General features: G+C 43.7%; 1 long non-coding RNA gene across 1 annotated transcript in view, besides 1 other annotated feature; it reads right to left on the bottom strand.

The window, feature by feature from the left end:
* Nucleotides 1-387: 387 nt before the first annotated feature.
* LINC01173 (long intergenic non-protein coding RNA 1173) overlaps nucleotides 388-14262 on the bottom strand; it is a 35097-nt gene continuing 21222 nt past the window's right edge. Inside the window, exon 3 of the long non-coding RNA NR_132376.1 lies at nucleotides 388-517. This is a non-coding gene — a long non-coding RNA (long intergenic non-protein coding RNA 1173). The remainder of the gene's footprint in view (nucleotides 518-14262) is intronic.
* Nucleotides 7142-7723: an enhancer, noted in NCBI's record as "NANOG hESC enhancer chr2:235619073-235619654 (GRCh37/hg19 assembly coordinates)". NCBI's record gives its function as "activates a minimal SCP1, AML or CMV promoter by ChIP-STARR-seq in primed H9 embryonic stem cells {active_cell/tissue: H9 hESC(primed)}" and the evidence as "EXISTENCE:reporter gene assay evidence [ECO:0000049][PMID:30033119]".

Here is a 14262-nt window from a genome sequence, read left to right as displayed (position 1 = left end):
TGGCCTTGCTAGTTGATTCAGCCATGGACTTGTGACCTCAGCTACCCAATTAGAGTCCCTCCCTGGATTTTAAAAAATGGCAGAAGTCTGTCTTGTCTGGGTGAGATAGTAGGCCTGTAGGATAAAGTGCTCTATGGTGTATGGTAGACTTATAGGGCCAGCTGGCCAGAGGGATTAGGCCAACCCAGAGAGAGAGAGTGTGTTCATGTGTGCATGTGTGTGCTGTATGTGTGTGATAGGGAGGTTGTTTGAATACAGTGTAGCTATTGCTGTCTTCACTCTGTTCTTTAGGTCCATAGCTAATAATTTTCCTTTTCCACTTAAGTTAGAGTTGGTTTTTGTCCCTTGCAAAATCATGGCTTATCTCTGGTTTTTAAGAATACAAACCTTGTCACCGTGAGTCTTGCTGTAAATCAGTGTCTCAGGGTCTACAGACAGACGAACACGACGCTCTCCTCCAAAAACTCCTGCCTTCTTATGAAAGCTGCAGGCCTTGGGGAAACGAAGATAATTTTTCCTATAGATTGAAAACACAGTTGTGATTGCTGTCTTATATCCAATTAATGCCTGTGCTAAGAGAGAAATCTAGCCTACTTTCAAATGACAAAATTGATTATGGGATTCAATCTGCTCTCTACTGACGTGTTCTGTTTTCAGCAAAATGCTATTTTTCATTGTTGCAGCCTCAGCCCTCTCCCGAGCAGAAACTATCTTTCAGCCAAATGGTAGGGTGTTTTTGTGAGGCATTTACTTGCTTAATTGATCAAACCCTCTCTAAACCCAGCTGTTTCACACTTAAGAGAATTTTAGCTTCTATCTTTTATTAAAATAGAAATAAACATGTCACTTTAAGTATAATAGTAGGAGCAATAAGAGCAAATTACATTGTTCATTTCTTTTCTTTTGGACTCTTTTAACTCAATCATGTTAAAACAGCCTCAAGTCAGCCTCATGTTGATGAGATATTTTTGCTATAGAATTCCTTTTCATGTGAAGATTCATGTGAAGATTCCTCTTCATGTGAACATACCTCGTGAAGATTGTCCTGTGTATTTCATATTTATCATCGTGATGGTGTATGGAATTTTCCTCCCATTACATTTTGTGTCAGGTTGTTATTGGTGTAAAACAGCCAATTTTAAGCCAATATTCTTTTTATACCCATCTAAGCAATGCTTGGCCACATAAACCACATTTTCCCTGTGCTATTGTATCCAAGGATCCAGAAAATTGTCTATGGCACTGCTCTAAGACTGCTCTAAATGTGTTACCCAGCCTGCTCTTCGGAACTTCCAAATCCTATTTAGCTGGCCAGTGCTTCTTGCCTTGGAACGTTGGAGAGCTGGTTTCACCCTGAAGCACAATGCTTGGAGCACTTTACGAGGCTCAAAAGTTATGTATCCAAGCTTTTGGGGAGGGGTTATGGGAAATGCAGGGAATTTGTATTAATCTACACGCTTCAGGGGATGGGAAAAAGCCAAGGGCATTAGCAACACCAAAAGGCCAAAGCAACAGCGTCCAGAGGGTGTCCTCAGAGATATCTGGGAGCCCTTGCTCCCTCCAGAGTCGATTTCTTATTTAGGCCCAGGCTGGGTCACTCTGGTGCTGCCTGTGACCATGAAAACTGCTCTCTGAAATGGGAGACCCCGGGCTTCCTGCTCCTGATCCTGTGCTGACTACAGTGGCACCGGGGTAGTCAGCCAGCACCTGGGGGGCCACTGTGAGCAATGGAGGCTGCCTTGAGCCTCTGAGCACGGCGGCCGAGGCCAATCTTCTCATTGTAATGGCCGTCAACACAGTCACTGATTTAGATGCCACTTCCCTGGGCCCTTGCTGCACAGGAAGGGAGAAGACCTTTCCCAAGCCAGTCAGGATACGTCCCTTCCCATCTCTCTAGTGGTGCGCTCAGGCTTTTTGCTTCCACTCCCTCCCAGCCAATCCTACGAGCTCTCAGCACAAATGCCCCGTAGACTGGGCTGAGAGCTCGGAGAACCGTTCTGCATAGGGGAGTACCCCATGTTTCCTCCGTTCTGTGACATGACTCCGGGAAGCAGATGCTCTGGCCACCTCTTCCCTTGGGAAGAGCCCACCTGACAGTCAGTAGGGGCACTTGTCTGACTGTCCCTGAGTTTGCTCAAGAGTGTCTGTTCTTACCCTAGAAATGCTCCCCAAAGCGCTTGATCGCTGCTGCTGTGAGGAGCTGTGTCCTGCCTGTGAGAAGCTCCACTTCCCACGGAGGCATCTGGGGCTGGTGTTCATGCTGGGACTTCTATCAAGGGATCCCATGGAAGCACCTCCTCTTGCCCCAGCGATTCCCCAAATCCCTCCTCAAACCCTGGACCCGGGCTCTTTCCTCCTCTGCCCTGTGGACCCACCTTACCCCGTGAGAGAGGAACTGATGTGCAGGGAAGGGCACCCTCATACTTAGCCTTCTCCAATTGCCAGAAATATTAATCCTTGCATTGAGGCAAGTTATTTCTTCCTGCTATTTCCACGTTTTGTTTTGTTTTGTTTTTTTGAGATGGAGTCTTTCTCTGCCCCCCAGGCTGGAATGCAGTGGTGCAAACTTGGCTTACTGCAACCTCTGCCTCCCAGGTTCAAGTGATTATCCTGCCTCAGCCTCTCAAGTAGCTGGGATTACACGTGCCTGCCACTGCTAATTTTAATTTTTGTAGTTTTAGTAGAGCCAGGGTTTCATCATGTTGGCTAGGCTGGTCTCAAACTTTAAGTTGATCTGCCTGCCTTGGCCTCCCACAGTGCTAGGATTACAGATGTGACCCACTGTGCCTGGCCTCACGCTTCCATCTTTTAACCCCAATTTGCCCTCCAGAATCATAACAATAATAAGTACAGTCCATCCATGTTTTGAAGATGACCTTTTTGTTTCCCCATGGACTTCTCTTTTTAGCCCAAACACCCCAAATTCTTTCCATCAGCCTTCATCTGCTGTATGTATACTCTCACTTATCTCCTGGTAACTTACAGAGAAGCTCTAGGTTGTAAATGTCTCGGGCTGTAGCTCTCCAAGGGTGATTTGTCCTGCAAGGAATAGCAAGGCTGTCCCCTTCCATGTGGCTAACAGGGACTTGCTGCCAGGATGGCCTTGGCTCAGACAAGCCTTCTTGGCCCTTCCTTGCAAGTTTCACCAAGTAATCCACCTGCCCCCTCAGCCCTCCCTACCTCCCACCAATCTCCCTGTGATTGTTGCAAGCTGAGTTTGACTTCTGGCAGAACTCAAAGCCTCGCTGAGCTCTTCCCTCCCACAGCCAATTCCTAGTCTTTGTACCAATCTACATGTGGAACTTGGCTCCTTTTCCTCGATTCGTATAACTATCTGTTTACAGACCTGGACTTAACTGAGCACTGGGACTTGTTCCGACAATCCCTTGACAATTCTCACCAGCACGGGCTCCAGGGTCCTGCTGCCATTTTGTTTGCTCTCTGACTTCCCGTTCTGCTCGTGGCATCTCCTTCCTCAAAGCAAATCCTTTCCATATGCAGAAGGATTATGTGGTCTCTCTTTTTTTGCCCCCAATACTGGGTTCTAGAGCTCTTCTTGCAGACTGAAAAGTCATCAGTGTCTTCTACTAAACCATGGGGTATCCATTTCAAGAGTAGCTCCTTCTCCTTTCCTTCCCAGTGTCAAGAAGAAGGGGTGGAATGGAAACTGAGTTTCACCTCTATGTGGATTATGCTGTCTGATTTCCACGTCTAAGAAGGCCAAAGGGCTTCAGCTATCAAGTTAGGTTTGGTTCCAAACAAGCGTTTCCTTCCATGATATTGTCAATGTAATAAATGTTGGAAGTTCTGGAGGAATTACCGCTCTCCCGGAAGTCTCTGGAACATTTCAAGGAGCCTCACTGACCCCCCAGGACTGCTGGGAAAATTACCAAGATGGTAATTTTCTTGGAAGCATCTTTTTCACTTTTACTATGCCTAAATGTGTTGGGATGTACACTCTTTGCTGAGGCTCCAGAAATATTATGTTGGCAGAATTAAATTCCTGATTGTCTAAGAATTACCATGATTTGAAACCATTCTTTTGATTCAGGGCAGAATCTTGGATTTTTCTGGAGGTCATTTTAAGACAATTTAGTTTTGTGATCATCTCCGTCTTCACTCATTAATCCAAGTAATGTTTATTGAGCACCTCCTGCGTCCCAAGACTTGGCTATGTACTTGGATATGTACCCAGCAAAGAATGGAACCGAGTCTTTGCCATTATTAAGTTTACAGCATAGTGGGGAATACAGACATCAGAGCAAATTAATACAAAGGTAATGAAAATTACGACAGAGAAAATGAAAACCACAACATCAATTGTTCCCTTTAATGAACATGATGTCTTCTCTCTCTAAGTAAAGTTTGAAGTGTTCATCTAGGACGTTGACATACCTCATGAAGATTGTCCTGTGTATTTCATATTTATCATCATGATGGTGCATGGAATTTTCCTCCCATTACATTTTGTGTCAGGTTATTATTGCTGTAAAACAAAGCTATTGATTTTTATAGATTTATTTTGTAACTAGGCACCTTATTAAACTCTTTTATTGTGTTTTAAAATTTGGTAATAGCTTTTCTACTGAAAGCAATTTTCGCTGACCTCAGGATGATGTTCTCTCTCTAGAACTGCCTTGTCTCTCTCATCATGTTGAAAGTAAAACTGTGTATGAAAAAAACGCTTTGGAAATAATTCTTTCCTTCTCCTTGGAGCAAGTCCACTTCTTAGGGGACATTGGTTCTAGTTCACCGTAATCGTGCCCTTCTCTTGAACTCCTTCATCTTTTATACATCCTTCACCTTTTTATACATTTTTTGTACTTCAACCTCACCCTCCACCCGCCCCCACCTGCCCATCATTCTTAGCCAGGAAGGGTGATGTTTGCTCAGAATGTGAACTTGAGGACATTTCTTTCAGAGATGACGTGGGCAAATCTTTAGTCTCAGGTGAAATAGAAGTCAGGAAGCTTGGGTTTGGATGGATAGGGAGGTTAGTCCCGTAAATTCACTGTTGCATCCATTTGCTTATTTTTTTCAGAGCCTTGGCTTGCTCTTCCCTCTTTCTGCAATGCTGTTCCCACAGGTGTCCATGGGACTCATTCCATTGTTTCATTCATTTCTCTGCTGCCCCAGCAACTTCTGTGAGCCTCATTCCCAACCATTTTACTTCATCTGCAGCCACGCTCCCCTATCCCCCAAGCCCTGCCTCCCTTACCTGCTTTCCTGTCCTTTCTGGGCTCATCTCCTCCTGACCTGGGATATATTGATCTCTTTATGGCCTCTATTAGAATGTAAACTTCCTTGGAGACTCTGACATTGGTTTATTCCCATATGCCCGGTGATTCAACCACTGTTTGTTCCTTTCTGGGCTCTCAAATATGTGTAAAATAAATGAATCCAGCCAACCCCCAAGTACCGGCTGTGTGCCAGTTTCTGAGTGAGCTCTGGAGATCCACTGGTGAGTGCATCAGACAGAGTCAGTGTGTCAGGTCCTAGGCCACAAAGGGAGAACTGGGCTCCCCAGAGAACTTTCTTTTCCCTGTGTGGGGTGCAGGCTCCATTCACTGGAGCATCACCATTTCTGTCTCAGGGATCCTGGGAGCCAACACCAGTCTGCTTGGTGTGACCCTGGAGCCCTTGCTGTGGTCAGTAGGTCATCCCTGTTGATCAGACACTGTCTTGCCCTCGTGCTCAGCTCCTGCCGCTGTGTCTTTGCAGATTTGAGTATATTCTGTCCAATACTGTCCAGGAGTGCTGCACTCTCACATGTGTGGAATCAGAGTGGCTGGGATACCTCCAACCCACTTCTATCCATACAGATAGTCCCCAACTTAATGAGGGTTTGGCTGAATGATTTTTCAACTTTACCATGGTACAACAGTGTTACACATTTGGTAGAAGCCCATACAAGTATTCTACTTTTCACTTTCAGTACAGTATTCAAGAAATTACATAAAATATTCAATACTTTATTGTAAAATGGGCTTTGTGTGAGATGATTTTGCCCTACTGTCAGTCGGCTAAGGTAAGCGTCCTGAGCACGTTTAAGGGAGGCTAGGTGAAGTGATAGTGTTCGTTGTTAGATTAGGTGCATTAAGTGTGTTTTTGACTTAGGATATTTTCAGCTTACGATGGGTTTATCAGGATGAACCCCCTCATAACTCAAGGATCATCTGACATCCCTCTAGGTTCGCAGATATGTACTGTTCCTGTTTTTCAGCCCATGTATTTTTCATATGCCTAAGTCTTTTCATTGTTAATCATTTACTGGGAATTTTGAAGGAAAGGGAAATTCAGAAATTGACTCAAGTCACCTTAAAAATTGTTTATTGTGATCATTAATGGTGATTAATAGACATGTTTTTCTTACATTTTTATTAAAATAACTTCAGTCAACTGCTACTTTTGTGTCTTCTCCCCTTCCTTCTTTTTAAAGTCAAAAAGTCTATCTCATATACCATATTTTTAATTATTCAAAAGACACATTTTTTCACCTTCCGATATCTTCGAAATTGGGATGCATACTACAGTTGACAGCTTCCTACAGTCTCTGTTGGCCCAACAACAATTAGGATATTATTGACATTGAGGACTAATTTGTGAGGTGCAATTGTAATCATTTCCAGCATTAAAAAAATGCTGTGTCATCAACATGAACATCAATGACACTGATGTTCACCTGAAATTTGAAAAGAAATCCACAAGTTTCAGACTTTAAATGTAAAAAAGCTTTAGGAATACCTTGACTAAATTATGTCACTTATATGACAGATTTGTCTATATTTTAATCTAAAATAATTCTTTCAATAAAATAAAAGTTCTAAGGTACTAGAAATCATTGCATTATAGTTTAATTGGCAGGCTTTTTCTTTCTTTTGTAGTGGTGCACGAAATAATAGTGCATCTTATAACTTTTGCTATCTTAGGTTTCATGAAATACATGACACGTCACCATGAAATATATTCACAGAGATGTTAATAATTTCTTCCCTGCTTTTTTCTTTACACAGTCCTCTACTTCGTTCCAATCTATTTATCGAAGAAATAACAAAGTTCATGTTGAGAGATCCATTTTATAACTTTTACTTGTATAACTTTACTTATTTGCTTGTTTGTTCTGTTGGGAAATGCCAGGTTTCTAGATCAGAGATAGATTTTTAATTGCTCACATAGCCATCATTGCACCAGTCCCCATGCATCCATCCCCCTCAGAGTGACAAACCGAGATCCAGATGTAGGAATTTGGGCCACCGGAGAGGAGTATAAATTCTGGAGCTTACATAAAAGCTGCTGACATAGCTGCTCCTCCTCTTCTCACCCCAGGTAGAGAAAGAGAAAGAGCTTTTGCTCTGAAATGTAAACAAAGGCTCTCTGGGGAGAGAACGAGAAGGTCTCTAGGTCCATCAACCATTGGAATATAAATACCCATCGCTAGGGGAGATGCTGCTGCCAATCTCTCCAGAAGTTACTACTTTAACTTCCAAGGTTTGTTGCCACTCAAACGTCCTTTAACCCAGGTTGCCAGCACCTTTTGCTCAGAAAGCAGTGACCATGTAAACATGGAAATACGATTTGTTTCCCCCAAATCATGCTGATTTATGCTAATATCTAAAGAAGAGTCCTGTGGATTGGGAGGTTGGGGGAGGCAAACAGCAAATTTTAACAACTGCTTGATGAAGTGGGAGAGAGAACGTCAAAATCTCCAGAAGTCCTTATTGAGAGGGCCCTGTATTTGTTCAGAGGGATTGCATTGATACAGTGAGTGGAGGTAGAAGTTAATTTCTTAGAGGAACTGGGTATGGACTAAAGGATAGGGCCAGAATCAAGTGGGGAATATTTTGACTGTACTAGAAGGAAAGGAGTCAGAAAATAGAAGGAAGCAGCGTCAACACAGGCAAGCTGGTGCAAGTGTATTTGTGTGGTGAGTGATATGACTGTTTCTTTGACAAACAAAATCTTCAGTGCGAGTTTAACAAAAATCACAAAATACTTGATGTGAATGGATTTCCTGTGGACCCTACTGAAGGGGAGAGTTCTGTGTCTCAGCATCCACTAGTGACAGCCCACGAGGTGGCAGGAGCACAGAAGGGAGAGGAGTGAGGCTATGGAGACCCAGGCATCATGGTGGGGGCTTCCACCTGCCACAGGCTGTGGAACTGGGGTTTTGGTGAAGTTCAACCAAGTCTCCCAGGGTTACATTGAATGAGTCCATTTTTATAGAATTGGGACAATGGTTGATTTTCTGTCTCGTGCTTTGTGACACTACTTTTCTGGGTCCTATCTGTCAACAGTCAAGGGGCAGTGAGTCCAGGGTTATGGATCTAAGCTCTTTACAAGCCATTGGTCATTCTCAGCTTCATGGACATAGGTTATACCTCTGCCTCCAGCCATCCTACATCCCGGTCCTGCTGTTCTTTTTTTTTTTTTTTTTTTTAATGGAGGTGGAATCTCACTCTGTCACCCAGGCTGGAGTGCAATGGCGCGATCTCGGCTCACTACAACCTCCACCTCCCAGGTTCAAACAATTCTCCTGCCTCAGCCTCCCAAGTAGCTGGGATTACAGGCACCTGCCACCACATCCAGCTAATTTTTGTATTTTTAGTAGAGATGGGGTTTCACTATGGTGGCCAGCCTAATCTCGAACTCCTGGCCTCATGTGATTCTCCCACCTCAACCTCCCAAAGTGCTAGGATTACAGGTGTGACCCACCGCGCCCAGCCCTGCTGTTCTTAAGGCTGGAAAAACAACTCCAAGCTCATATTCTATCAATAATGGCTGGGGAAATTTTTCTTTGTGGCTAAAATCTGTGTGCATCAGCTTTGCATTCACTTATTCATTCATTCATTCAACCCATAAGTACTTTATGTCCCAGTCCCCAATTAGCTTACATCTGGAGAAGGAGCTATTAATAGATTAATACATGTAAAATTATGGCCTAGAGGTCCCGGCATAGTAACACCATCACAGAGGCATGCACAATGCACAGTAAAGGAGAGCGTGGCTGTTTCTGCTTGGAGCCTTGGGCAAGACTCCCCATTAAAAGTGTTATAGGCAGGCGAGGCATGGAAGGATTGGCTGTATGATGTATGCCAATAGAAGAGGTGCAGATCAGCATTCTAGATCAAAGGGAAACATGAGACAGGACAGTACAAGGGCAAATTGAAAGCTCACTGTCAGGGGAATGTAGAGATGTGAGTTGGAATGTCAAAGAGACGGGCTCTCACTCCCATCTCTGCAGGGCTTTACTATAAAGATTAGTAGCAATGGTCTTTATGCTCATGACCAAGGCGGGCCATAAGCCTGCTGTTGATGAAGTGCCCTAGTGTACATGGTGGGAAGCTTAATGCCTGGGGCAGAACCAGGCTGGTCTTTCTCTACTGCATTCCCTGGTTCTGGCACAGGGTCTCACAGAGACTCAGTGTTCAATGAATATTTATTGATTGAAACAAATGAATCCTTTGGTAGTCTGACTCCATGTATTTAGCAATTGTAACATTTATGCTAGCCAAATCAGTGTCCTGGTACCACTTGCTATTCTTGAATATGATATAAAAATTTCTGTTGAGTCCCTGGTGCATACAATAAGGTAAGTTTCCAAATTTAGAATTGCATAATCATTTTTACACAACTTAAGAGGCAGATGCGAGAAGAATCCATGTAATGTGCTGAACATCATGCAGCTGCGCAATTGCTTTGGACTTTCTGTTTTATAGAGACAACGGCTTTCCCTGAATTTCTGAAGGAATGCACATTTTCTTGCCTAAGAGCTAGCAGCGAGTGGCTGCCGTGACAGTTTTAGCAACTGAATGCATCCTGGGCTGAATCTCGAGATTTGGTGGATAATAGACTGGTGGCCTGCTGTGCACTGTTGCAATGCCGAGCATTCACCCATACAGCCCCTCACGGGAATCACTTGATGGCTGGCATTACTGGGAGCTGTCTCGCCTAACAGCAGCTTCATAGAATGTATTCCCATCACTCTTAAGAGAAATGTCTGGGGGGAAGAGGGGAGAGCTGCAGGCTAAAGCTGCGGGGCTGTTTCTAACAAAAATATGTCTAAGATATATATATATATGCACCTAGATGGATAAGTGTAGCAGACAGCCACCCACCTGCTGTGGTTCTAGAGTGACTGTCCCCAGCCCCCAGAGGACAACTGCACTTGCTTTGCTTTTGGAAATTCTCTATTGTGCTCATGCCTTTTATTCTATAAGCAGAGTTAGGGCTTAAAATGTAAATGCCATCTGACCCAGTAATTTCACTCCAAGGCAAATAACAAAGGTTGATATCAAAAGACATTCCCTGCAAGATCATTTAAAATGGAAAAATATGCAAGGTACTCAAATGCCCAGTAAGGAGAAGCAAATCATATATGTGCAGCAAACGTAAGAGGTTTCCCAAAATTTAACATGTAAAGATATTCATAATATATTCTTAAGTGACATGAAGCAAAAATAATATAAAATTGTGCTGATGGAAAGTTTACAATTATGTAATGTGTACAAACATACAGGCACATGCGTGCACACACATAAACATACACACACACATTCACATGCACAGCCTGGTTCTAAGACTACATCAAGGTTGCTGTCCAGTCCCACTACTGGGTATGTATCCAAAGACAGTGAAATCAACACGTTGAGGAGATATCTTCACTCTTATGTTCATTGCAGTGTCATTCACAATAGCTGAGATATGAAAACAAACTAAATGTATGTTGATGTACCACTAAATGTGGTATATATACGTCATGGAATACTATTCACAAATGTTGTCATTTGTGACAACATGGATGAACCGGGAGGACATTATGTTAAGTGATATAAGCCAGGCACAGAAAGACAAATACTGCATGATCTCACTTAATATGTGGAATCTGAAAAAGCCAAACTCACAGAGGTAGAGACCAGGGGCTGGGTGTGGGTGGGTATGGAGAGGCTGCTCAAAGGGCACAAAGTTTCAGCACGGGATAAGCTTTTGCGATCCATTGCATAGCACGGTGACTATAGTTAATAATGCAATGTGCATTTCAAAGTTGTTCAAAGATTTTTTTTTTTTTTTTTTGAAGACAGGGTCTCACTCTGTTACCCAGGCTGGAATGCAGTGGTGCAATCTCGGCTCACTGCACCTTCAACCTCCTGGGCTCAAGCAATCCTCCCACCTCAGCCTCCTGAGTAGTTGGGACTACAACTGCACACCACCACACCCGGCTAATTTTTGTATTCTTTTGTAGAGGTGGGGTTTCACTGTGTTGCCCAGGCTGGTCTTGAACTCCTGGGTTTAAGTGACCCTCCCTTCTTGGCCTCCTGAAGTGTTGGAATTACAGGCATGAGCCACTGTGCCCAGCCAAGAACAGATTTTAAATGTTTCACAACAACAAAATAAGTATGTGAAGTGATATGTTAATTAGCTGGATTAATTCATTCCATAATGTATATATAATCAAAACATTACATTGTACCCTATAAATATATATAATTATTATTTGTCAATTAAGAATATATTTAAAAAGAAGTAAAGAGATTGACTGTGGAGCTGGTGGCATCCCTGCCCCCTACCCCAACACCCCACTTCTCAAGTATGTGTCTCCTTTCCTGAGTAACTGGCAAGGCCTTTGAAGGGGGAACTGGGGAGGGAGGAGTGCAAGGTAAAATTTATGAGACTATTTTTCCAAAGACAGATGACAAAATTCAAAATAAATTGGGACAAGGGATGTTTTTTCCCTCTCCTGCAGAACTATAGACTTGGGCCATGATTGAGTAGGGCCTGAAGAAAGCACAGTTCTGCTTGGCCCTTGCCGGTTTGGGGCTGCTATAGGGGCTCTTTGGTGAAGGGGGGTGATGTCTTCTTGGATGGCAGTGGCCGTGGTGCTGAGGAGTGTTGCTTGTGCCCTAGAAATCACAAGATGACTGGTGTGAAAGTCACTTCTTCCCCTGTGTGAGAGCCCCTTGTGGATGCCCAAAATCAACTGGGGAGAATGGGAGAGTGAGAGTAAATGAGCGAGGAGAATTGGGGAACAAATAGTGCTGGTACCTCCTGAGAACCCATGTACAAGGAGGACCCAGCGATGTTTGAGAGGCCTGTTTAGACCAAAGGCTACAAGAAAGTGCATCAACATGTAAAGAAAGATGATCTTCTTACTTTGGGAGTATCCATCCTTTTAATTTTTTTCTTATACTTTTCATATATTTAAGTTTTTGAAAGTAAGCATGTGTATTAGTCCATTCTTGCATTGCTATAAAGAAATATCTGAGACTGATCCTGGCTAACACGGTGAAACCTCATCTCTACTAAAAATACAAAAAATTAGCCGGGCATGGTGGTGGGCGCCTGTAGTCCCAGCTACTCAGGAGGCTGAGACAGGAGAATGGCGTGAACCCAGGAGACGGAGCTTGCAGTGAGCCGAGATGGCACCACTGCACTCCAGCCTGGGGGACAGAGCAAGACTCTGTCTCACACACAAAAAAAAGAAAAAAAAATATATATATATATATATCTGAGACTGGGTAATTTATAAAGAAAAGAAGTTTAATTGGCTCATGGTTCTGCAGGCTGTACGGGAAGCATAGTGTCTTCTAGTGAGGCCTCAGGAAACTTACAATCATGGCGGAAGGCAAAGGGGAAGCAGGCACGTCTCACATAGCTAGAGCAGGAGGAAGAGGAGAGGGGAGAGGTGCCACACACATTTAAGTGACCAGATCTCTCACTTGCATTAATTACCACTTTCAGATACGTAACTTCCTAGAAGAGAAGGCAAGAGGGCAGGCAGAGGTGAGTAATGGTGGAAATAATGCTAATTTACCCGGGATGATGTCATCTGTGGTTCTGGCTAGGGCCAAGTGAGTATGACAGCATAGATGAGTAGGTGTGTGGCTGAAGCTTTGTACCAGGCTCACCTCTGTCTTGTTCTCAGGTCCCCAGTACTGTTGAGACCGCAGGGTGGAAGCTGTAGAGTGGTCAGCATTTGGATGCCACATACTGCAATCACCCCTGGTTGTAGATGGGAAAATGAGGCATGGCCTGTATGCTGACTGTCTCACAGCTGCTCAGCAACTAGCGGCTCCACATTCTCTTCCTCCTATCTCACCCTGAACAGGCTGCCTCAATTTTTCACACTGAAATCCAATCATGGCCAAAGCAATTTGGGACTAAGCAGAAAACCTTCCCCCTGCCCCCTCTGCAGAAGCTGGATTCTTAGTGACATGTACTCTCAATAAGAAGCTCAATTTTTTCTTGGCTATGAATGAAAGTGATATGATTATACTTATGAAGCCTGTGCCTACAGCTTCTATCAAAGTAGTAACGACACTTTGGAAGGGGAAAGGAAGGTGTAACATTCTAAGCATTAGTCCATATTTCAGAGAATTCATAGCTTTTGGATTTCGTGGTATTTGAATAAGAAAAGAAAAACAACTTGAGTTATTTAAAGCTATATAGATACACTTACAAATAATTAATGTAAGCATAAACACACCCTTATTCAGTTTCTCCCCTCATTTTGATATTCCATATTATTAAGCCAAACCTCCCAGAACCCCCTGCTACCACACCATCTACCTTAAAGATCATTACATTTGTAAAAAGAAAATTCAGTTACTGGGTTAAAATTCTTCTGAACTCTGGCTGGGTGTGATGGCTCACGCCTGTAATCCCAGCACTTTGAGGCCGAGGCAGGTGGATCACAAGGTCAGGAGTTTGAGACCAGCCTGACCAACATGGTGAAACCCTGTCTCTATTAAAAATGCAAAATGTAGCCAGGCATGGTGGCGCGTGCCTGTAATCCCAGCTACTCAGGAGGCTGAGGCAAGAGAATTGCTTGAACCTGGGAGGCGGAGGTTGCAGTGTGATGAGATCGTGCCATTGCACTCCAGCCTGGGCGACAGAGCAAGACTCCGTCTCAAAAAAAAAAAAAAAAAAAAGAAAGAAAAAATACTTCTGAACTCAAAACATTTGGCCTGCCTTGTTAACGACATTCATCTGTGCATTCCTTTCTGGAAGCTTGTTTCAGCAGAAGTGTGTGGGTATCTAAGCAACCTTTGAGGCTTTGGGTGGAGTGGCATTAGCTTCAGCACCAAACAGCATGGTTCTTGGTTCTGAGTGCCCATTTGAAGGACCTTGAAGCTTTTTAAAAGTACAGGTCTCCCAGCCCAGGTAAACTGATCCTGAATCTCCAGGGCTGAAGCCCTGGGCACCTGCAGCGATTGAAATTCCCCGCTGTGCTGTGCACGCTCTGGGAGGACTGAGGACTACCCAAGC

This window comes from Homo sapiens, chromosome 2 (genome assembly GCF_000001405.40).
Source record: "Homo sapiens chromosome 2, GRCh38.p14 Primary Assembly".
Classification (NCBI taxonomy): domain Eukaryota; kingdom Metazoa; phylum Chordata; class Mammalia; order Primates; family Hominidae; genus Homo; species Homo sapiens.
Note: the sequence above shows the minus strand (reverse complement) of the source record. Positions and strands in the feature narration are given on the sequence as shown.